A 24,738-nucleotide genomic window follows, 5' to 3' on the forward strand; every position below is an offset into this window, starting at 1 on the left:
TGGCATTGAGTGTCTGCAGCTTTTCCAGGCACACAGTGCAAGCTGTCAGTGAATCCAACATTCTGGGGTCTGGAGGATGGTGGCCCTCTTCTCACAGCTCCACTAGGTGGTGCTGCAGTAGGGACTCTATGTGGGGGCTCCGACCCCACATTTCCCTTCTGCACTGCCCTAGTAGAGGTTCTCCATGAATGTCCTGCCCCTGCAGCAAACTCCTGCCTGGACAACTAGGCATTTCCATACACCTTCTGAAGTCTAGGCAGCAGTTCTGAAACCTCGATTTTTGACTTCTGTGCACCCATAGGCTCAACACTATGTGGAAGCTGCTAAGGTTTGGGGCTTGCACCCTCTGAAGCCACAGCCCACATTGTACCTTGGCTCCTTTTAGCTGCAGCTGGAGTGACTAAGACTCAGGCACCCGAGGCTGCTCACAGCAGGGGGGACCTGGGTCCAGTCCACAAAACCATCTTTTCTTCCTAGGCCTCTGGGCCTTTGATGGGAGGGGCTGCCATGAAGCTCTGTGACATGCCCTGGAGACATTTTCCCCATTGTCTTGGAGATTCACATTTGACTCCTCGTTACTTAAACAAACTTCTGCAGCCAGATCGAATTTTTCTTGAGAAAATGGGATTTTCTTTTCTATTGCATTGTCAGGCTGCAAATCTTCCAAACTTTTATGCTCTGCTTCCCTTATAAAACTGAGGGCCTTTAACAGCACCCAAGTCATCTCTTGAATGCTGTGCTGCTTAGAAACTTCTTCTACCAGATAACCTAAATCATCTCTCTCAAGTTCAAAATTCCACAAATCTCTACAGCAGGGGCAAAATGCCACCAGTCTCTTTGCTAAAACATAACAGGAGTCACTTTTGTGCCAGTTCCTGACAAGTTCCTCATTTCCATCTGAGACCACCTCAGCCTAGACTTTATTGTCCATATAACCATCAGCATTTTGGGCAAGTCTCTAGGAAATCTCTTCCAAATTTTCCCACATTTTCCTGTCTCCTTCTGAGCCCTCCAACCTCTGCCTGTTTCCCAGTTCCAAAGTTATTCCACATATTCAGGTATCTTTTAGGAACACCCCACTTCTGGTACCAATTTACTGTATTAGTCCATTCTCACACAGCTGATAAAGACACATACAAGACTGGGAAATTTACAAAAGAAAGAGGTTTAATGGACTTACAGTTCTACGTTGCTGGGGAGGCTTCAAAATCATTGCGGAAGTCAAGGAGAGACAAGTCACATCTTACAGGGATGGCAGCAGGCAAAGAGAGAGCTTGAGCAGGGAAACTCCTCCTTTTAAAACCATCAGATCTCATGAGACTTACTCACTATCAAAAGAATAGCATGGAAGATACCTGCCCCCATGATTCAACTACTTCCCACTGGGTCCCTCCCACAACACATGGGAATTCAAGACGAGATCTGAGTGGGGACACAGCCAAACCAAATCAAAAGAATATACAAAATAACCAGAAAACAATGAACAAAATGACAGGAATAAGTCCTCACCTATCAATAATAACTTTGAATATGTGTTAAATTACCTACTTAAAAGATAGAGACAGGCTTGATGGATAAAAAATGACCCAACAACATCTCCAAGAAACTCACTTCACTTGTAAAGACACACACACACTGAAAGTGAAGGGACTGAAAAAGATATGCCACACAAACAGAAATCAAAAGTAATCAGGAGTAGCTAAACTTTCATCAGATAAAACAGACTTTAGGTCAAAAACTGTAAAAAGGACAAAGAAGGTCATTATATGGTAATAAAGGGATAAATTCAGCAACAAAATATAACAATTCTAAATATGCATGCAACCAACACAAGTGCATCCAGACACACATAGCAAATATTATTAAATCTACAGGGAGAGATAGAGTCCAATACAATGATAGTTGAGAACTTCAACATCCTACTGTCAGCATTGGACAGTTCATCTAGACATAAAATCAACAAAGAAACATTAGACTTAAGCTGCACTTTAGACCAAATGGACCTAACAGATATTTTCAGAATATTTCATCCAGCAGCAGCAGAATACACAATCATCTCATCAACACATGGAACATTCTCCAGGATAGACCATATGTTAGGACACAAAACAAGGCTCAACAAAATTTTAAACATTAAAATCATATCAAGTATCTTCTCAGACCACAATGGAATAAAACTTGAAATCAATAACAAGAAGAAATTTGGAAACTGTACAAATACATGGACATTAAATGTGCTATTGAATGATCATTGGGTCAATGAAGAAATTAAGATGGAAATCAAAAAATTTTTTTAAACAGAAAATGGAAACACATCATGCAAAACCAATGGGATACAGCAAAAGCAGTACTAGGAGGAAGGTTTATAGCAATAAATGCTTACACCAAAAAAGTAGAAAGATCTCAAATAAACAACCTAATGATGCACCTCAAGGAACTCAAAAAGCAAGAACAAACCAAACACACAATTAGTAGAAAGAAAAAAAAAATAACAGCAGAACCAAATGCAACAGAGACAAACAAGAAATGCAAAGAATCAACAAGATAAAAGTTGTTTTTTTGAAAAGTTAAACAAAATTGATAAACCACTAGTGAGGCTAACCAAAAAAAAAAAAAAGAAAAGAAAAAAGGAGACCCAAATAAATACAATCAGAAATGAAAAAGGAGACATTACAACTGTTACCAAAGAGATAAAAAGGATGATTAGAGGTTATTATGAACAACCATATCCTAACAAATTGGAAAACTTAGAAGAAAGGGATAAATTCCCAGACATACACAGCCTACCAAGATTGAACTAGGAAGAAACAGAAAACCTGAACTGACTCAAAATGAATAGCAGGTTTGAATCAGTAACAAAAAGTCTCCCCAAAGAGAAAAGCCCTAGACTAGGCTTTTATGCTGATTTCTACCCAGTTTATAAAGAAAAACAAACACCAATTCTTCTCAAACTATTCCCAAAAATTGAAGAGGAGGGAATTCTTCCTAACTCATTGTATAAGGCCAGCATTACCCTGATATCCAATCAAGACAAGGAAACAACAGAAAGAGAAAACTACAGGCCAATATTCCTAATGAACACAGATGGAAACATTCTCAGCATAATACTACCAAGCCAAATCTAATGATGAATGAAAAAGATAATATACCATGATCAAGTGGCATTTATCCCAGGAATGCAAAGATGGCTTAACAAACACAAAATCAATGCATGTGATACATCACATCAACAAGATGAAAGGCAAAAACTATCTGATCATCTCAGCAGATGCAGAAAAATCACTCGGTAAAACTTACCATTCCTTCATGATGAAAACTCTCAACAAATTAGGCATAGAAGGAACACTTCAACATAAGAAAAGGCATATATGACTAATCTACAGCTAACATCCTACTCACTGGGAAAAATTGAAAAGCTTTCCCTCTAAGAACTGGAACAAGACAAGGATGCCCACTTTCACCACTCTTATTCAACACAGTATGGGACATCCAAGCCAGAGTGATCAGACAAGATAAAGAAATAAAAGGCATCCAAACTAGACAAGAGGAAGTCAAATTGTCTCACTTTGCAGATGACATAATCTTATACTTGTAAACAGAAAAACCTAAAGACTCCACCAAAAAACTCTTAAAATGGATAAATTAGGCTGGGCATGGTAGCTCATGCCTGTTATCCCAGCACTTTGGGAGGCCAAGGTGGGTGAATCACCTGAGGTTGGGAGTTTGAGACCAGCCTGGCCAACATGGTGAAATCCTGTCTCTATTAAAAATACAATTAGCCAGGCATGGTGGTAGGTGCCTGTAATCCCAGCTACTTGGGAGGCTGAAGCAGGAGAATCTCTTGAAATCCAGAGGCGGAGGTTGCAGTGAGCCAAGATTGCATCACTGCACTCCAGCCTGGGCAACAGAGCGAGACTCTATCTCAAAAAATAAAAAATAAAAAAAATTTAAAAAAACAGATGTATAATTCAGTAAAGCTTCAGGACACAAAATCAACATACAAAAATCAGTAATGTTTCTATATATCAGTAACAAACTAGCTAAAAAAGAAACCAAGGAAGAAATTCTATTTACAATAGCTACAAAAATAAAATACCTAGGAATAAACTTAACCAAGGATGGGGAAAAACAAAACAAAAAAAAAAAACAAACAAAAAAAAACCTCTGCAATGAAAACCACAAAACACTGATAAAATAAATTGAGAAGACACAAACAAATGGAAAAGCATCTCATGCCCATGGGTTGGAATTACTAATACTGTTAAAATGACCATACTACCCGAAGCAATCTAGAGATTCAGTATAATCCCTATCAATTATATTCTTCACAGAAACAGGAAAAAAAAACCCTGAAATTCATATGGAACCACAGAAGACCCCAAATAGCCAAAGCAATACTGAGCAAAAAGAACAAAGCTAGAAGCCTCACACTACCTGATTTAAAGGTATACTGCAAAGCAGCTGGGCGTGGTGGCTCACGCCTGTAATCCCAGCACTTGGGGAGGCCAAGGCAGGTGGATCATGAGGTCAGGAGATCGAGACCATCCTGGCTAACACGGTGAAACCCCGTCTCTATTAAAAAAAAAACAAAAAAATTAGCCGAGGCTGAGGCAGGAGAATGGCGTGAACCCGGGAGGCAGAGCTTGCAATGAGCCTAGATTGCATCACTGCACTCCAGCCTGACTGACAAGGCAAGACTCTGTCTCAAAAAAAAAAAAAAAAAAAAAAAAAAAAAAAAAATATATATATATATATATATATACACACACACACACACACACACACACACACACACACACACACACACACACACACACACATACTGCAAAGCTATAGTAACCAAAACAGCGTGTATTGGTATTAAAACAGACACAAAAACAAAGGAAACAGACTAAAGAACCCAGAAATGAATCCACGTATTTTCAGCTGATTTTCAAGAAAGGTGTCAAGAACATATATTGAATAAAGGACACCCTCTTCATTAAATGGTGCCAGGAAAACTAGATATCCAAACACAGAAGAATAAAACTAGACCCTTATCTCTCATCACTTACACAAATAAACTCAAAATCGATTAAAGACTTAAATGTAACAGCCACAACTATAAAACTACTAGAAGTAAACACAGGAGAAATGCTTCAGAACAAAGGTTGTATGGCTAACACTTAAAAAGTACGAGCAACAAAAACAGACAAATGGGATTATATTAAACTAAAAACCTTCTGCATATCAAAGAAAACAATCAACAGAGTGAAAAGACAACACCCCTCCCTAACGCCATATACAAAAATTAACTCAAGATAGCCTACAGACTTAAATGTAAAACCCATAACTATAAAAACCCTGGAAGACAACCTAGGCAATACCATCCGGTACATAGTGATGGGCTAAGAGTTCATGGTGAAGATGCCAAACGCAATTGCCACAAAAGCAAAAACTGACAAATGGGATCAAATTAAATGAAAGAGCTTCTGCACAGCAAAAGAAACTATCAAAAAATAAACAGACATTTCTCAAAAGAGGATATACAAATCACCAAGTTTGTGAAAAAATATTCAACATCACTAATAATCACGGAAATGCAAATCAAAACCACAGTGAGATATCATCTCGCACTTGTTAGAATGGCTATTATTAAAAAGACAAAGCACAACAAATGCTGGCAAGCATGTGAAGAGAAGAAAATTATCGTATATTGTTGGTGGGAATGTAAATTAGTACAGCCATTATGAAAAAAAGTACAGAGATTTCTCAAAATCTAAGAACAGATCTACCATATGATCCAGCAATCCCACTTCTGGGTATATATCCAAAAAAAAGGATATCAGTGTATCAACGGGATATCTGTACCCCCATATTTACTGCAGCACTATTTACAATAGCCAAGATATGGAATCAATCTAAGTGTCAATCAATGGATGAATGGATAAAGAAAATGGGAATATACGCACAATAGAATAGTATTCAGCCATAAAGAAGAATGAAATCCTGTCATTTTCAGCTAAATGGATGGAACTAAAGGTCATAAAGTTAGGTGAACTAGGCCATGCACAGAAAGAAAACTATTGCATGTTCTCACTTATATGAGCAGTTTATGCTCCTGGAAATCAAAGCGGGGGCCATGTTTCAGGTCAGTAGGGTCAGGGATAGAGACCGCAGTTATGGACTTGTGTGCCCTGTAGCTATAGAAAATTGATATCATGGAGATAAAGAGTAGAATGATAGTTACCAGAGGCTGGGAATAGGAAGGGTTTGGAAAGAGGTTGATTAATGGGTATAAAAATATATAATAGAAGGAATAAGATCTAGTGTTCCATATCACAGAAAGTGACTACAATTGTATATTTCTTTTTTTTTATTTCAATAGTTTTCAGGGAACAAGTGGTATTTGGTTACATGGATAAGTTTTTTAGCGGTCATCTCTGAAATTTTGGCATACCCATCACCAAAGCAGTTTACCCAACGTATAGTCTTTTTTCTCTCACCCCCTCCCCCTTCCCCCTGAACCCCCAAAGTCCACTGTTTCATTCTTGTGCATTTGCATCATCATAGCTTAGCTCCCACTTATAAGTGAGAACATGCGATGTTTGGTTTTCCATTCCTGAGTTACTTCGTTTAGAATAATGGTCTCCAACTCCATCCAGGTTGCTATGAATGCCATTATTTCATTCCTTTTTAAGGCTAAGTAGTATTCTATGGTATATATATAAAAAACACATTTTCTTTATCCACTAATTGATTGATGGGCATTTGGGCTGATTCTATAGTTTTGCAGCTGTGAATTTTGCTGCTGTAAACATGTGTGCAAAAGTGTCTTTTTCATATAATGACTTCCTTTCCTCTGGGTAGATACCTAGTAGTGGTATTGCTGGATCAAATGGTAGATGTACTTTTAGTTCTTTAAGGAATCTCCATACTGCTTTCCATAGTGGTGGTACTAGCTTAAATTCCCACCATCAGTGAAAAAGCGTTCTCTTTCACCACGTCCATGCCAACATCAATTTTTGCTTTTTTTTACTTTTTTTGTTGTTGATTTTTTCTTTTTTTCTTTTTTTTTTTGAGATGGAGTCTCACTCTGTCGCCCAGGCTGGAGTATAGTGGTGCGATATCAGCTCACTGCAACCTCTGCCTCCCGGTTTCAAGAAATTCTCCTGCCTCAGCCTCCTGAGTAGCTGGGATTACAAGCAACCACCACCATGCCCGGCTAATTTTTGTATTTTCAGTAGAGATGGGGTTTCACCATGTTGGTCAGGCTGGTCTCAAACTTCTGACCTTGTGATCCACCCGCCTCAGCCTCCCAAAGTGCTGGGATTACAGGCGTGAGCCACCTCACCCGGCCCTATCTTTGTTTACTTTACACGTGGTATTGCATTGTGGTTTTGATTTGCATTTCTCTGATAATTAGTAATATTGAGCATTTTTTCATATGTTTGTTTGCCATTTGTATATCTTCTTTTGAGAATTGTCTATTCATGTCCTCGGCACACTTTTTGATGGGATTATTTATTTCTTGCTGATTAGAGTTCCCTGCAGATTCTGGACATTAGTCCTTTGTCAGATGCAGTTTGTGAAAATTTTCTCCCACTCCGTGGGTGATCTGTTTACTCTGCTGATTATTTCCTTTGCTGTGCAGGAGGCTTTTAGTTTAATTAAGTCCCATCTATTTATCTTTGTTTTTGTTGCATTTGCTTTTGGGTTCTTGGTCATGAACTGTTTTCCTAAGCCAATGTGTAGAAGGGTTTTCCAATGTTATCTTCTAGAATGTTTATGCTTTCAGACCTTAGATTTAAGTCTTTGATCCATATTGTCTTGATTTTTTTATAAGGTTGAGAGATGAGGATCCCGTTTTATTCTTTTACATGTGGCTTGCCAATTATCCCAGCACTATTTGTTGTATAGGGCGTACTTTCCCTACTTTGTTTTTGTTTACTTTGTCAAAGATCAGTTGGCTGTTAAGTATTTCGCTTTATTTCTAGGTTCTCTACTCTGTCCCATTGGTCATGTGCCTATTTTTATACCAGCACCATTGCTGTTTTGGTAACTATAACCTTGTAATATAGTTTGAAGTTGGGTAATGTGATGCCTCTAGATTGTTTCTTTTTGCTTAGTTTTGCTTTGGCTTTGTAGATTCTTTTTTAGTTCCAAATCAATTTTGGCATTGTTTTTTATAGTTCTATAAAGAATGATGGTATATTGATAGGAATTGCATTGAATTTGTAGACTGCTTTTGGCAGTATGGTCATTTTCACAATATTGAGTCTACCCATCCATGAGCATGAAATGTGTTTCCATTTGTTTGTGTCATCTATGATTTCTTTCAACAGTGTTTTGTAGTTTTCCTTGTAGGGGTCTTTCACCTCCTTGGTTAGGTATATTCCTAAGTATTTTATTTTTACAGCTAACATAAAAGGGTTTGATTCTCAGCCTGGTTGCTGTTGGTGTATAGCACTGCTACTGATTTGTACACATAGATTTTGTATCCTGATAAATGAATTTATTGTATATTTCTAAATAGCAATAAGATTTGAAATAACTCCAACACAAAGAAATGATCAATGTTTGAGGTGATTAATATCCTAAAGACCCTGATTTGATCATTACACATTGCATGCATGTACCAGAATCTCACATGGACCCCATAAATGTGTACAATTATTCTCTGTCAAAAACAATTTTTTAAGAAACATGCAGGAATACACTGTACCTCTTCCTTGCTGTCTCTGGATATTGTCACATGAGGACTTGACATGCAAATTGTGGCAGCCCCTGGGACCAAGAGCAGAAGGCTATAGCAGCATAGAAAGCTCAAATGAAAAACCTAACATCTCAAGCTACTAATTTAGCCAACCTTGGCATCAGCTATCTCCGGTCTTAGTACATGAGGTGATAAGCCCCCACTGTCAAGTTGGGTGGCCATCAATTGCTGCAGAATAGAAGTTAATGAGGCTTCCTCCTCCTGGATCCCCTACTAGACCCTGACATACCCATTCAGTCATAGGCAGAAAGGGAAGCAGAGCATAAGGAGACCTGGCTGGCTCTGCCATAGGCAGATCTTACCTGTCCTGCTTGCCCTAAAAAAGCCTGGTGACTATGCAAGGGACTGAGAGGTGGCTCCCATGGCCATAGTCTAGGCAAAATAACCCATCCACTAATAAGTGAACATGGCAGAAATACAGTCAGCATTTCCTCAGTCTTGCCAATAAAGTCAACTCCTCCACTCACCAGGGAGGAGCTGTATGAAAGGGGCAGAGAGACTTGGAAGTTTTCATCCTAACTCACTCTTCTTTGTTTTTGCTTTGTTTTGTTTTGAGACCGAGTCTCGCTCTATCACCCAGGCTAGAGTGCAGTGGTGCAATCTTGGCTCACTGCAACCTCTGCCCCCTGGGTTCAAGCGATTCTCATGCCCCAGCCTCCAGAGTAGCTGTGACTACAGGTGCCCACCACCACGCCTGGCTAATTTTTTATTTTTAGTAGAGACACGGTTTCACCATGTTGGCCACGCTGGTCTCAAATTCCTGGCCTCAAGTGATCTGCCCACCTCAGCCTCCCAAAGGGCTGAGATTACAGGCATGAGCAACCCCACCTGGCCACCTAACTCACTCTTGAGAGGCCAGAAGTGATGCTGGAACTTTCTTCCTCTGTGGGTTAAAAAGAGAAAATTAGGCAGAACACAAGGCATGAGAGATGCAGCGATGCATATATCTATATGCAGCTTTTGTCTGCATCCAGTAGAAAATGCATTTCTAGGCACCAGGTTTAAGAGTGAAAACCTGGAGTCTTGTCTATTAGCATTCTCATTCCCCACAAACCAGAGAGGGAATACATTTGCTCCAGCACACCCGAATGTAGGAAATGTCACATTCCTATTTCTGTAACTTCAGTTAAATCTGCTCTGAGTCCCTGGATGCCTGGCAGGTGGAGAATTCAATCTTGTCGTTACCAGCATTCCTTTCCCTTCTCCATGGGCTTATGTAAGAATTCTGGACTTACATACTGTTGGAAAGCCAGGTAGGAACTACATCCCCCAAACTCTCCATTCTTCCAGCTGCTCATGATCCATCAACCTTCTTTGGGCCATCTGCTATAACAAGACCCTCCTCACAGCATCATTCCACTGACCCACAGGCTCAGCCCCAGGGACCCTCACTATAGCAGGTCTCCACTATGCATAGGAACTCACAAAAACCTTCTCTTCATCTTGGCTTCCTCTGATATCCAGCCACTCCCCCACTTCTCACCTTAAACACAGATGGCAGCTCCTTCCCATTGTTCCAAACCTGGGGGATTGTCCAGCCAAATTCTCTTCAGACACCAAAGCTTCACCCACCCTCTTCAGGGAGGTGATGCAAGGGCATCTGAGATCTTTGGAAGCTGAATTCTGGCTTCTCTTTGGGGTGGGCTGAGAGTGGGAACTAGACTCTCTTTTCCAAGTGCCATGTTTATCTTGTTCATCATTATATTATCTCCAATGCCTGGCACATAGCAGGCACTACAGATTGACACTTAGTAGATGCTATTAGTGTCTGTATAATGGAACTTTTGAGGTTGGAGCTATTAACAGAAAACTGCCAAGCAAAAGGATGGAAAAAAGACCACCAAAAAAAAAAAAAAGAAAGAAAGAAAGAAAGCAATCATGGCTATGAGCTCTAAACACACAAGGCACCAGCCCAAGTTTGGGCAATTTTAATACAACAGCCATTTTGCCTCCAAACAAACTGGCACTGGAAACCTCCCTCTGCCTCTTAAAGAGAGCCACTTTCTCTTTCTCTAAGTGGGCAGCATTTCTCCCCAATGGCAGTACCCAGCCCACTGCCACCAGCAAAGGACTGCATCCAGGAGCCAAGAGTTTGATAGTTTAAATAATATATTTTATAGGGAAAAACAAAGTAACATCCACATAAATCTGGAACTACCACCACTTTCCAGAGGCTGAATCCCATTTGTGGAGTCTCTTGCGTGTCAAGTACCTTGCAGTCAGCTCAATTATATACTTTTGGGATTCGTTGCAGAGAAGAGTGAAGTTATCTGCAAAATAAAGGAACCAGGGCTCAGAATTCCCATAGCAATCCATGACAGAGGATGTGAGTAGAAAAGGGAAGGGTGAAGTCAAAGGAGAAAAGTCAATGAGTTGGTCAACACCAAGCAAGGATCATGGAACACTCTCCATGGCCCCACAACTCAAATGAAGTCAATAAAACCCATCAATGCTTGGTGTAAGTGTTGTATGCTCCCAGAAATGAAAGCAAGGGCCAAATTTCAGGTCAGTAGGGTTGGGGGTAGAGGCAGCAGTCATGGACTTGTGGGCCCTGGAGGATGGGATGATTCTGAGATATTGAATCCCCACACTGATCTCAGTAGAAATCTCAGGTAGGGCTTCAACATTCGTGGACCAAGGACCCTGCGGGCCTGAGAGCAACAGACTTGGTGCATGTTCCAGCTCCAGCAATCCCAACTGGGGCTTTGAACAAGTTACTTATTTTTTTAACTAATGTTATTTTAATTGACAAATCATAATTGTACACATTTATGTGGTGTTTTGTTATGTGTATACAATGTGTGATGATTACATCAAACTAATTAACATGTCCATCCCCTAATTTACTGACAATTTTTATGATGAGAAATTTGAAATGTACCCTCTTAGTTATTTTGAAAGATACATTATTATTGACTATAGTCACGCTGCTGTGCTATAGATTTCAAAGCATGTAATCCAGCAACCCAACTTCTGGGTATAGACCAAAAAAAAATCGAAGTCAATACGTCGAAGGGATCTCTACATTCCTATGTTCACTGCAGCACTATTCACAATACCCAAGATATAGAATCAACCTAAGTGTCCATCAGTGGATGAAAGGATAAAGAAAATATACTATATACATACAACGGAATACTATTAACCCTTAAAAAAGAAAGAAATCCTGTCATTTTCAACAACATAGATGAACTTGAAAGACATTGTGTTAAGTGAAATAAGCCAGGCACAGAAAGACAGATACTGCATGATTTTACTTATATGTGGAATCTAAAGAAGTTGAACTCACAGAAATAGAGAGTAAGACAGTGGTTATCAGGGGCTGGGGTGGAGGAAAGGTAGGGGATAGGAGACACTGGTCAAAGGGTACAAAGTTTCCAATAGGAAGAATAAGTTTTGAACAAGCTAAACTCCTCTGAAAGCTCAGTTCCTCATCTGTAGAGCAGGGATGCATCATTAACCTTCTAAGGATGTTGCTGTGAGAGTAAGAGATGATGTTCAGCACAATACCTAACGCACAGTCAGGTCTCCTTAAGCTTGAACCTGCATCGCCATGACCTACATCTCAGGACAGAAAGGCTCACAGCCAGTGTCTCAGTTCCCAGTGAAAAGTGGATCCCAGACCAGGCTGAACAGCAGGATCCCTAGGGGATACCCAGCCCTACTGAGTCAGAATCACCAGAGGTAGAGCCTGGGTATGTATGTATGTGCGTGTGTGTGTGTGTATGTATGTATGCATGTATGTATATGTGTGTGTGTGTATGTATGTATGTATGTATAAGAGATAGGGTCTTGCTCTGCAGTCCAGGCTGGAGTGCAGTGTCACAATCATAGTTCACTGCAGCCTCAAATTACTCCTGGCCTCAAGCCATCCTCCCACCTCAGCCTTCAGAGTAGCTGAGGCTACAGGTGAATGCCACCAAGCCCAGATACTTTTCTTTTTCTTTTTTCTTTTTGGAGAGAGTCTCACTCTGTTGCCCAGGCTGGAGTGAAATGGTGCAGTCTTGGCTCACTGCAACTTCTGTCTCCAGGTTCAAGTGATTCTCATGCCTCAGCCTCCTGAGTAGCTAGGATTACAGGCATGCACCACCACACCAGGCTAATTTTGCTTTTTTCAATGTTGTTTATTGTTTGTTTTTCACAAATAGAACTTTTTATTTGCCACTATTATAAGTCTGAACTTTAAACAGATTCTTGGACTGGTGGTTCATATCCATCAGCTCATTCAACTTTAGCATGTGTCTCATCCCTAGTGGGTTTTCCAGAACTACTACCATCACCACGAAGCTCCATGCCTTTCAAACCCAGGGTTCTCCAGCATTTTTTCTTTTCTAATGAAGACATCATGGAGAGGATAAATTGGCAAGCCTTTTCTACATCTTTTCCAATGTTGTCTGGAATCAGTTTATTGACCACTTCTTTCAAGTCATTTGTCTGCACCTCTCAGGTCATGATTTCCATCATTTTCTTCTGGATTTGGCAGACTGTTGGTCCTGAGCATAAGAGGTCTTCCGTATCTGATTGTTGCGTTTTTTAGTAAAACCAACACAAAACAAGATGAAAGAAGTAACCATCGTAGTCTTGACATCAACATGAGCGTCAATCATTGTTGAACATTTTTCAGCCATGGAACATATTTTGTCACAGGTAAGACCCATGCCATAGAAGTTAGTCAGGCAGTTTTTGCCCTGAACATCTTCAGTAATCAGCTTGAATTTTCTAAATGCAACTTCATCATTCTGCAAATCAGCAAGACTCACTTCAAACACAAGACCCTTGGGACCATCAGATGCAATTTGGGTTCCTTGGGTCCTGGTGACCAAGTCTTTCCAATATTTCTTATATTGGACATAGGAGGTGCTTTCACATCATACTTATCTTTCTTAGAAAATGGATCAACTACTTTCTTCTTAACTCCCTTTTTGCCACCTTTCATAAGGCACTTGTTCTTAACAAACACCATGGTGCTGCTCAGAGTACGAAAAGGCTAAATTTTATATTTTTGGTAGAGACGGGGTCTCACCATATTGTCCAGGCTGGCCTTGAACTCCTGATGTCAGATGATCTGCCCGCCTCAGCCTCCCAAAGTGCTGGGATTACAGGTGTGAGCCACTGCACACAGCTGATATTTATTTTTTCTTTTTTGTAGACACAGAGTCTTGCCATGTTGCCAAGGCTGGCCTGGAACTCCTGGCCTCAAGCAATCCTCCCACCACAGCCTCCCAAAGCACTGGGATTTCAGATGTGAGCCACCGTGCCCAGCCTGGAATCTAGTTTTAAAGCCAATCAAGTGTTGAATAAAATTGCAACTTGGGCTGTTTTTTCTTTGCATTTTTTACATTTCAATGGTTTTTAATATATTCAGAGATATACAAAAACATTACCAGTCAATTTTAGAACATTTCATGACCTCAAAAAGAAACCTCATACCCTTTAGCTAACACCTCCTATCCTCTCATGCTCCTACCAGCCCTAAGCAACCACTAATCGACTTCCTATTTCTATAGATTTCCATCTGAATGAAATCATGTAGAATGTGATCTTTCATCTGCTTTGAAGGTTCATCCACGCTGTAGCATATGTACTTTGCTCCTTTTTGTGATCGAATAATATTCCACCATGTGGGTAGACAACATTCGTTGTACCTCTTCATCTGGTGATGGGCGTTTGGATTAATTCCCTCTCTGGGTTATTAGGAGTGATGCTACTGCAATTATTCATGTACAAATTTTTGTGTGGACCTGTGCTTTCATTTTTGAATATGAAAATATGGCACATCTCCAAGGAAGACATACAAGTGGCCAATAAGCACATGAAAAGATGCTCAATGAAATTCATCATCAGGGAAACAGAAATCAAAACCACAGTGAGATATCACTTCATACCCATAAGGATGGCTACAATCGAAGATCCAGAAAATTGGCCTGGTGCAGTAGCTCATGCCTGTAATCCCAGCACTTTGGGAGACCGAGGCAGGTGGATCACCTGAGGCCAGAAGTTTGAGACCAGCCTGGCCAACATGGTGAAATCCTGTCTCTACTAAAAAAATACAAAAATTAGCCAGGCATGGTGGTGGGTGCCTATAATCCCAGCTACTCGGGAGGCTGAGGCAGGAGAGTAACTTGAATCTGGGAGGCAGAGGTTGCAGTGAGCCAAGATTGTGCCACTGCACTCCAGCTTGGGTGACAGAGCAAGGCTTCGTCTCAAAAAAATAAATAAATAAAATACAGAAAATAACAAGTGTTGGTGAGGATGCAGAGAAACTAGAAACTTCATACACTGCTGGTAGGAAATAAAATGGTGTAGCCACTGTGAGAAACAGTTTGACAACTTCCCAAACAATTCTACACAGAGTTACCAAATGACCCAGCAATTGTACTCCTAGGTATAGGCCCAGCTTGGGCTCTTTTAATCTATGGAAAATGAACTATGGGTACTTGGCAAGAACAAAGAGGGAGAGAGGCAGAAATGGAGCCATGAGGGCACATTGATTGGTCTCTAGTACACAGGGCTCCTACTGCAAATGGTCTCTAAATGACTTCATCAGTTGCTCATAAAAAAAAATTACCCTCTGCTCTAATCGTGGAGGAAGAAGTGTGGATTGGACCTGGTGAGCCACGGTAAGACTGACTGCTAAACTTTATGAATGAGGGGATTTACACATATAATCTTGACTGTACTATTTTTTATTTTATCCACTGTCTGTGAAAACCTAACTCTTGACTAAGAACTGACTTTCCTGTACTTGTTATTGACTCCAAGTAAATTTCCAATTCCACATAGTCCAAAGATGATGTGCTGAGAAATCTCTCAAAGGAAAAATGCTAAGAATACAGGCAGAGTTATGCGGCAAATTTTGCAGAATTAACACAAATTGCACTTGCAATTTGTGAAAACACAAAACATTTCATGAGTAAAGAAAAAAGTGTTCATTCTAATAGAGGCTGCAGGATGAGGCTGATCAAGCTGCTTGCCCAGCCAGACCTTGGGCTCTTACCTAATTTGTGTTAGAGTCAACTCTGATGGAGTCTGTATCTCAGTCATCTTTTTTTTTTGACATGGAATCTCGCTCTGTCTCCCAGGCTGGAATGCAGCGGGGTGATCTCAGCTCACTGCAACATCTGCCTCCTGGGTTCAAGCGATTCTCCTGCCTCAGCTTCCCAAGGAGCTAGGACTACATGTGCATGACACCATGCCTGGCTAATTTTTGTATTTTTAGTAGAGATGTTTCATCATGTTGGCCAGGCTGTCCTCAAACTCCTGACCTCAAGTGATCTGCCTGCCTTGCGCTCCCAAAGTGCTGGGATTACAGGCATGAGCTACCATGCCTGACCTCAATCATCTTTTTATTCTCCACACCTGGCAAGTTCTAGACACACTGTGGTTCCATACAAGTTTGTTGAATAAACAGGAGACAGATAGAAAGTGGGAACTCTGGAAGTAGAGAAGATTCCAGAAATTGTGCATATTTCCCAGAGACTGTGGCCCAATTCCTCAGTCTTGCCAGAGTTTCTCTATCTCAACTCAAACCTTATGTGTGGGCCCAGGCGCAGTGGCTCACACCTGTAATCCCAACACTTTAGGAGGCTGAGGTGGGCAGATCACTTGAGGCCAGGAGTTTGAGACCAGCCTGGCCAACGTGGTGAAACCCCGTCTCTACTAAAAATACAAAAATTAGCCAGGCATGGTGTTGTGCACCTGTAGTCCCAGCTACTCGGGGGGCTGAGGCACAAGCATTGCTTCAACCCAGGAGGCGGAGGTTGCAATGAGTCAAGATTATGCCACTGTACTCTAGCCTGGGCAATAAAGCAAGACTGTCTCAAAAGAAAAAAAAAAAAACCCTTATGTGTGGGCCTTGTTACAGAATTAATGTTTATATGGACAATATGTACATGGGTGTATGTTAAGAGCATGAGTCATCCACAAGATTTTAGCAAAGTCCATTTAGAAAGCTCAATGCTTTGGGCTTCCACTTGCTTTGCTGCCTCTGTCCTCAGAAGGAGGCTTCATCCTTCCATGTAACCAGCAAATCCTTTATGCAGAGATGTACACAACACACTCCTATCCTTGGCTGTGACACCTTGAAAGGCGCTTCTTGGTGGTCCCTGGTGCTCATTTCAGAGTAGTTAAAATTAAGATGATCAGCTTTCATGCCAATCACTCTACAGATCACTCCTATTATGACCAATTTTTCTAAATGCTTTATTGAATTATTACTTAAAGAAATGTGCACATAGAAGAGGTCAACACAGTACTTTTCTTACAAACTGAACATACTGGCCAGGCACAGTGGCTCATGCCTGTCATCCCAGCACTTTGGGAGGCCGAGGTGAGCAGATTGCTTGAGCCCAGGAGCTTGAGACCAGCCTGGGCAACATAGTGAGACCCCCCTTTCTACAAAAAATAAATAAATAAAAAATTAGGCAACAGTGGTGGCACATGCCTGTAGTTCCAGCTGTTCGGGAGGGCTGAGGTGGGAGGCCTGCTTGAGCCCAGGAGGCAGAGGCTGCAGTGAGCCATGACGGTGCCACTGTGATCCAGCCTGGGTGACAGAGCAAGATTCTGCCCAAAAAAAAAAAAAATAACAAAAAAAAAAACAGAACATTTCCATATTAGCGACACCCAATTCAAGAAACAGAGCATTACAGCCCCTTCCAGGATATTCCTGGCATCTCTTCCATCTCTACTAACCCCTGACTACAAACAGCCTCCACCTATTTCACCTGACATTGTACTTTATGAAAGCAGCAGTTCTCAGATGGGGGCTATTTTGCCCCCTGGGGACATTAGGCAATATCTGGAGACACTGGGGGTTGTCTCTACTTGGGGGGAGTTGTGTTCCTGCATCCAGTGACTCCAGGGATCCAGGGATGCCGTTCAACATCCTAAAATACACAGGGAACCCCCACATATACAACAGAGAAATTGCTGAGCCAAAATGTCAGCAGTGTCACAGCTGAAACCATGACATACACAGAATCACACAGTATCTGCTCTTTCGTGCTGAGGATCTCTTTCATTCTGATCATTGCATAGGAAATAGAAATGTTATTTGGAGGCAGGTAGAGTCCAAAACAAAGAAAATCCAGAGATTTTTTTTTTTTTTTGGTCAGCCTGGTGCCTTTAGAGCTAGGATTTAGTTTCCATCCTTTCTGTCTCATTTTCAAGTGATTTTTCTTCAACTGGCATCTGCTGGGCTCAAGACCCGGAGATCCCCGCAAAGCTGAGATTCACATGGGAATTTTGTACACACTCACACGGGTATACACTGCCATTTACATGCAGACATCCACCCACAGATACACACATCCAGAGACCAAGGCAGAAAGCAAACTCCACCATAAAAGCACGGTTCCCCGAACAGGAGAAACACACCATTCACTCAAGGGAGGTACCTATTTGTTTAATTCAGCCTCTGGCAGGCTGTTGCCAAGCCCAACTCTGAAAGTCTTCCCCTCTAGGAGAGAGAGATGGATTTTTTCTTTACTCAAGAATATAGATCTAAAAAAACCAAACACTTCTGCATCTCAAAGCAGGCTCTACCTCCTGAGCTACACATATTGATCAGCATTTTATTGTCAATTTTCTTTTATTTGAACTGGAGAAAAATATAATCTAATTGTGTTCTTACTGACAGTTTGGAATCAGTCACACTAAATCCAATTCTCTGGGTTCTCATGATTAAGGTGTTTAATTTGGGGGACAACAAAGCAAAAGCATTGGTCATGTTTTAATATAATTAGTACAGGATATATCTAAGGGGTTCAAGTATCACTGTAGCAAGAAGCTCATTCTGCAGTAAAAGGGGGATTCTGCCACTAGGATAGAGTGAGGGTGGTTCATGGCTGCACCGTTTCATCAATGTCTCTTCGAGAGTCCATGGAATGTGGAATGGGAAAGACTGAAATAGTCCAAGTCTTGGCTAAGCTTCTATTAAGGGGTGTTAGGAGCTGATAAAATAACCTGGTCTTTATAGACATCCCACACTGTAGTTCTCTAAGCTACAGATTCTCAGATTTTTCTATTTTATAAACCAGTAAAAATATTTTATTAATTTGAGAACCAACATAAGGTTGCTACTTTTTTTTCTCTTTGGTAAGAAGGAACTTTTTTAAACTACCAGTTTCACACACACACACACACACACACACACACACAGACACATACACACACACACAGAAATTCCACCATGATTGGTCAGAAGAGGTGAGGTTTTGCTGCAATAACAAGCAACTCCTAAATCTTGGTAAATTCAAACATCAGAAGTTGTTTTTCTCACTCGTGCTACATCTGCAGGGAAGTGTGGGGTGCTCTGTTTTCCATCAAACTTGCCCTAAGACTAAGGCTAATGGGGGTTGCATTACCTCGAGTATCACCAAGCAGGGAACAGAGGGAGAAGAATGCTAGAGAGTCTTGTACTAAGAATTAAATGCTCCAGGCTAGAAGTCTCACACTGCACCTCTGCCCCCAGCCTGTTGGCCAGTACTTGCCACATCCCCTCCCCCACCACACTGCAATGCATGGAGACAGGAGAATTGGATACATTACAAATTTCTACCCAATGGCATTTCATAAGAGAAAAAAATGTAAATACAAAAATGTTTTAATAGAATAGAATAGATACATTTTTAGAATAAAGAACAATCCTCCAAAAAGGACAGCTCGTGGTCTTTCAACAATGGGCACATTTCTGTGACATTGTCTCTGTTTTTCCATTTTATCCTTGACCTATGAACATTTCATACAGATGGTCCAAAGAACACCATTTGAGGACCACTGCTCTAATCAGGTGATGAAAACGGCCCTAAGAACAGAGCACAGTCTCCTTAGCAAAGACCCAGCAGGGCCAGGGTGACCACGTTCTCACCATCAATGCACAGACATCCACCTGCAGCATCCTCACATCCCAACATCAAACAGTGGCTCTTTATAGCTTGATTCTAATGCCCTTTGATCTTCATCATCACTGTAAAGCTCTCTGGCCCCAAGATATAACATCACCACTCTAGCTACATCCTGCAACTGTTCACCTCTCCTGCCGCCTCATCCCTCTAAACTTCTCTTCACAACCTCATGTTTCCTTCTTGCTTTACCTTCCTGCTCAGCCTGGACCTTACAGTCACCTTCTTGTAATGTGCTCCTAAAGGCGTTCTTCCCTGCTTTCAACCACACCCACCTGGAAAATCTCCATACCCCATTGATGACTTGCCTCGCAACTGCCCAAGGGCTGCTGAATGATACTGGAAAGAATCACAACATGGATCTGGTAGTTCCACTAAATAATCTCACCATCCAACTCTAGGGTAGACTTCATTTCTGTTCAGCAGTATTTTTAAGCATCACAAATAAATTCAAAACCATATTTGCTATAACAATTGACTTTAAACCTCTTCCATATCTCAAAGCCCCCAAACCCATCCCTAGGGGTTTCAGAGCCCAGAGTTGAGTTCTCTCAACTCACTTCCATCTCACCTCTAGATAACTGTATCTTGACCCTCTTCCTCTGCCTTTCCCATCTTATAAGGAGAAGCATCCTTATCCTTTCCCAAGCTACCTTCTCCACTTGTGCCTCATCTGAGACCTCCCTTTATCACCCGTTCCCTTGGAACTGCCATGACTCACCACCTTCACTCATCATTTCACTCATATTTTGTACCATGTATGTGACAGGTGTTTAACATATAATCATGCTTAAGTCTCCACATGCTAACAAGAAAAACCTTGATCATCCCTGTTATGCCCTCAAGTCATTACCCTCCCCGCTCCTTTCCTGTGTTCCCAAACTTTGTTGATCTTCATCAAACCCTCTGATGCAGATGGCTCCAGTTTGCATCCTATTAGGTTGGTGCAAAAGTAATTGTGGATTTTGCTGTTAAAAGTAATGGCAAAAACAGCAATTATTTTTGTACCAGCCTAGTATCTTTTCTCCTTCTACCAAACTTTGTCCCTGAGACATCTCATCACCTATAACTACCTCCTCCATGTAGTTGATTCCCAGATCTGTATTATTCTACTGAAAGTCCATTCCCCAACTTCCTCGGCTGGAATAACAGAAGCCCAATTAGAATTCATGCTACCAGCTTCCCACCACCACCACCACCACCACCACCACCGTCACCCTGCCATTGTTAGCAAAACCATCTCTTGAGTGGAGCTCAAAGATTTGTAATGATCTCTCACTCCCCAGAAAGAGAACTTCAGACTCAGCCTAGAAGTAAAGATCCTCCAGATATGGCCTCAACTACCCTCCAACCCATGTCCCCAGTGCATCCCTCTGATGCCCCCTTCAGTGGAGTTAAAATGGAGTGAGTGTTTTTCTTTTCACATACTCCTGGTATTCTTCCACAGATACAATTTCACCTCTTGAATATTTTCAAGGATTCTCCATGCTACACACAGTGAAATCCAAACTCCCCATCAGGACCCCAGTCTTCCCAAACCCTCTTCACACTTTTCTGCCTCCATGCTTTTCCTTGGGTCATTGTCTTCTCTAATATAACCTTGTGTATTACTCTAGGTTCTCCAAAGAGCAAAGAGATAGAGGTAGAGCTATACACACAGAGAGACGCAGATTGATTAGTTGTAAGGGATGGCTCACATGGTTATGGAGGCTAAGGAGTCCTGGAGTCTGCAGCCAGCAAGCTGGAGACCCAGGACTCCCAATGATATAGTTCCAACTCGAGTCCACATCTAAAGTCAGGAGAAGATTGCTGTCCCAACTCAAATATAATCAGGTAAAGAGAGCAAATTCTCTGTGACTCTACCTTTTTGTTTTGTTCAGGCCTTCAGTGGATTGGATGAGGCTCACCCACATTGGGGAGGACAATCTGCTTTATTCAGTCTACCAATTAAATGTTATCCTCATCCAGAATACCTCAGAGACCCACCCAGAATAATGTGTAGCCAAATATCTGGGCACCCACAACCCAGTCAAATTCATACATAACACTAACCATCATGTCTTGCTTCTACACTCTCCCCATTACTGCATGTCCAAATCCTTCCCTTATTTCAAGGCTTAGTTCAAATGTCACCTCTTAACTAAGCCTTCCCTGCTAACCCCAAATATTAATAGAATTGGTTTCTCCCTTCGCTGATGTCTCAAAATACGTTGTGTGTTTCTCTTTTACTGTATTTATTACAAACTCCCTTACAAATCAAGGCAGTGATTCCCAAATTATCAAAAGAGTATAAAAGAAGTCTTCTTTGAGTGTGAAATATCTCATGGAATATAGCACATGGCCTCTTCATGAAGAAACTACTGGGAGAGAAGAAGACAAGATGGAAGAGGCCAGGGAAAGGGGGTTAGTAGAAAGCACAATGAGGCTGGGCTAATACGGTGGCTCACACCTGTAATCCCAGCACTTTGGGAGGCAAAGGATGGTGGATCACAAGGTCAGGAGATCGAGACCATCCTGGCTAACATGGTGAAACCCCGTCTCTACTAAAAATACAAAAAATTAGCCAGGCTTGGTGGCACGTGCCTGTAGTCCCAGCTACTCAGGAGGCTGAGGCAGGAGAATGGCGTGAACCCGGGAGGCAGAGCTTGCAGTGAGCTGAGATGGCGCCACTGCACTCCAGCCTGGGTGACAGAGTGAGACTCCATCTCAAAAAAAAAAAAAAAGAAAGCACAATGAAATGTCAGTGGATGGGTGCCTATAATTTCTAAGGGAAATAGAGTATAATCCAAGAATTTTATAGCCAGCTAAATTATTGCCCAATCAAAATAGGCAAAAGATACTATCACATGTTCAAGAACTTAAAGAATACAGTATTTCTGAGCTCTTTAAAAAAAAGCCTTCATAATAAAATTTAGTCAGCCAAGAAATTAAAAAATAAGCAACTTGTGAATTGAATGACCATGACAAAAGGTTAGTGATGAGAGGTGAATCCATTTAAAAACAGGACTATGATTGCAGAACAGAAAGAAAGGTGGTCAACCTTAACAACATGAAACAACCCAGAAATAACTAGTTTCCAGAGGTAAAGGGAGGGACTGTAGGAAGCAGAAGTACAAATGCCCCTTATTAAGTCAATTAATCAGGTCTAAAATTGAAACGTGGTTTTAAACATATAATTTCTTGTTTATTTTCCTCCGTAACTACCTAAGGATCACCACGATGAATGACACGGTAACTATCTGGACCAGGAAGTTCATGACCAATCGACCGCTCCAGAGGAAACAAATGGTCACCAATGTCCTTCACCACGGAAATGCAACAAAATGTACAAGATCATAATAGGTGTCATCTTCATATTAATAGTTGGACTCAGAACCCATGTTGGTGGTGGTTAAACAATGGGCTTTGGCATGCTATCTGGTTCTTTGAATTATGCAAAGAAAAATGAACTCAAACATAGACTTGCAAGACACAGCTGACATGAGAAGAAAACGACCTCGAGAAAACAGCAAAAGGAATGCAAGGGCAGAATGAAGTCAAGAGACTGCAAAGGCCAATGTCAGTGCTGGCAAAAAGCAAAAGGAGTAAAGATTTTGCAATGACTTTATTTGCAGTGACTGTACAAATTTTGCATGAGATGATCAATCAGCTGTAAAGACTTTTACATATATATAAAACATCTTAATATTTTTCATCATCTTTGATTTCCTAGATGTTCTAGAAACTGATTTTTAGTGAGAAAAAAACTACATTTATCTGAGTTGACCAGTTCCTTCAGTTTCATTTCCATTTCTTTTTCTTCTGATAAATTTACACGGCATTCAATTTGCTACTTCTTGTTTTCAAAATCTCATTTTGTGTGATCAGAAGTGTCTGTTCATGTCTCAGGCCATCTTTGTGCATAGCAAGGAATGCTGTTCACTTAATATTAGGAGGTTTATTTCTTGGGGTCGTGAGATTTGGGGTGATTTCTCTCCCTTTTTGTACTTTTCTGTATTCATTAATTTTTTTGAGACAATGTCACCAATGTCCTTCATATTAATATTTGGACTCAAAACCCATTTTGGTGGTGGTTAAACAATTGTCACCCACATTGGAGTGCAGTGGTACGATCTCAGCTCACCAAACCTCCGCCTCCCAGGCTTAAGCAATTCTCCTGCCTCAGCCTCCCCTGTAGCTGGGATTACAGGCGCGCACCACTACCGCCTGGCTAATTTTTATATTTTTAGTAGAGGTGGGGTTTCACCTTGTTGGCCAGGCTGGTCTTGAACTCCTGACCTCAAATGATCCACCCGCCTTGGCCTCTGAAAGTGCTAGGATTACAGGCATGAGCCCCCGTGCCCAACCTTTTCTGTATTAAATTTTTTAAAACAAAACATTTAAAATAATCAAGTCATTCTTTTTGAATCTACTTTGTATTATAGGTGTCCAAATACTCACCTATTCTCTCTTACGTGATGACAAACTTGTTGAAATGTCATTTCATTTTGTGGCTCCAGCCCCAGGTATTCTGACTCTGATTCTAAAGGGTCTGCATGCAGAGCGAGCAAGCCACCTAGATGATTCTCTTGCAGGTGTTTTAAGGGCAGGAGTTTGAGACACCCTGATGCAAAAGAACGAACCCTCAAGGAAGTTGGCTGTACGGGTATTTTCCTTCCTAGCACAGGAAAAGACAGAAAGATTATCCAATCAGTACCACTCATAGCACCTGATTATATGTGTATGAGGAATTCAGATATGGTTTGATCAAGGCTGAAGACCTAAAAAGAGGCTCTTCTCTTGGACATCAAGTCCCCATCTCATGCGTGGTTGAGTTAGTAGAAACTGAGGATGATACTTCTTCCTCCAGCATTGGTATCCCATGGTTTTTGTTCAGTAGATGAAGTACCTCCATTCCCCAACATCCCCAAGCTCTATCCCAGTTTCCTCACATACACTTTTTTTTTTTTTTTTGAGACAGAGTCACGCTCTGTCACCCAGGCTGGAGTGCAGTGCATTGGTGCAACCTCAGCTCACTGCAACCTCCACCTCCCAGGTTCAAGCGATTCTCCTGCCTCAGCCTCCTGAGTAGCTGGGATTACA

The 24,738-nt window shown here is 41.2% G+C and overlaps 1 long non-coding RNA gene and 2 pseudogenes across 1 annotated transcript in view; 1 reads left to right on the plus strand and 2 right to left on the minus strand.

Moving 5' to 3' along the window:
* Positions 1 to 10,846: 10,846 nt before the first annotated feature.
* Positions 10,847 to 24,738, minus strand: part of LINC00937 (long intergenic non-protein coding RNA 937) — a 33,790-nt gene continuing 19,898 nt past the window's right edge. The window contains exon 2 of the long non-coding RNA NR_024420.1: positions 10,847 to 11,025. This is a non-coding gene — a long non-coding RNA (long intergenic non-protein coding RNA 937). The remainder of the gene's footprint in view (positions 11,026 to 24,738) is intronic.
* Positions 12,867 to 23,481, plus strand: LOC101927966 (40S ribosomal protein S24-like; annotated as a pseudogene).
* On the minus strand, positions 12,894 to 13,742 carry RPS3AP43 (RPS3A pseudogene 43; annotated as a pseudogene).

Source organism: Homo sapiens, chromosome 12 (assembly GCF_000001405.40).
Source record: "Homo sapiens chromosome 12, GRCh38.p14 Primary Assembly".
NCBI lineage: Eukaryota > Metazoa > Chordata > Mammalia > Primates > Hominidae > Homo > Homo sapiens.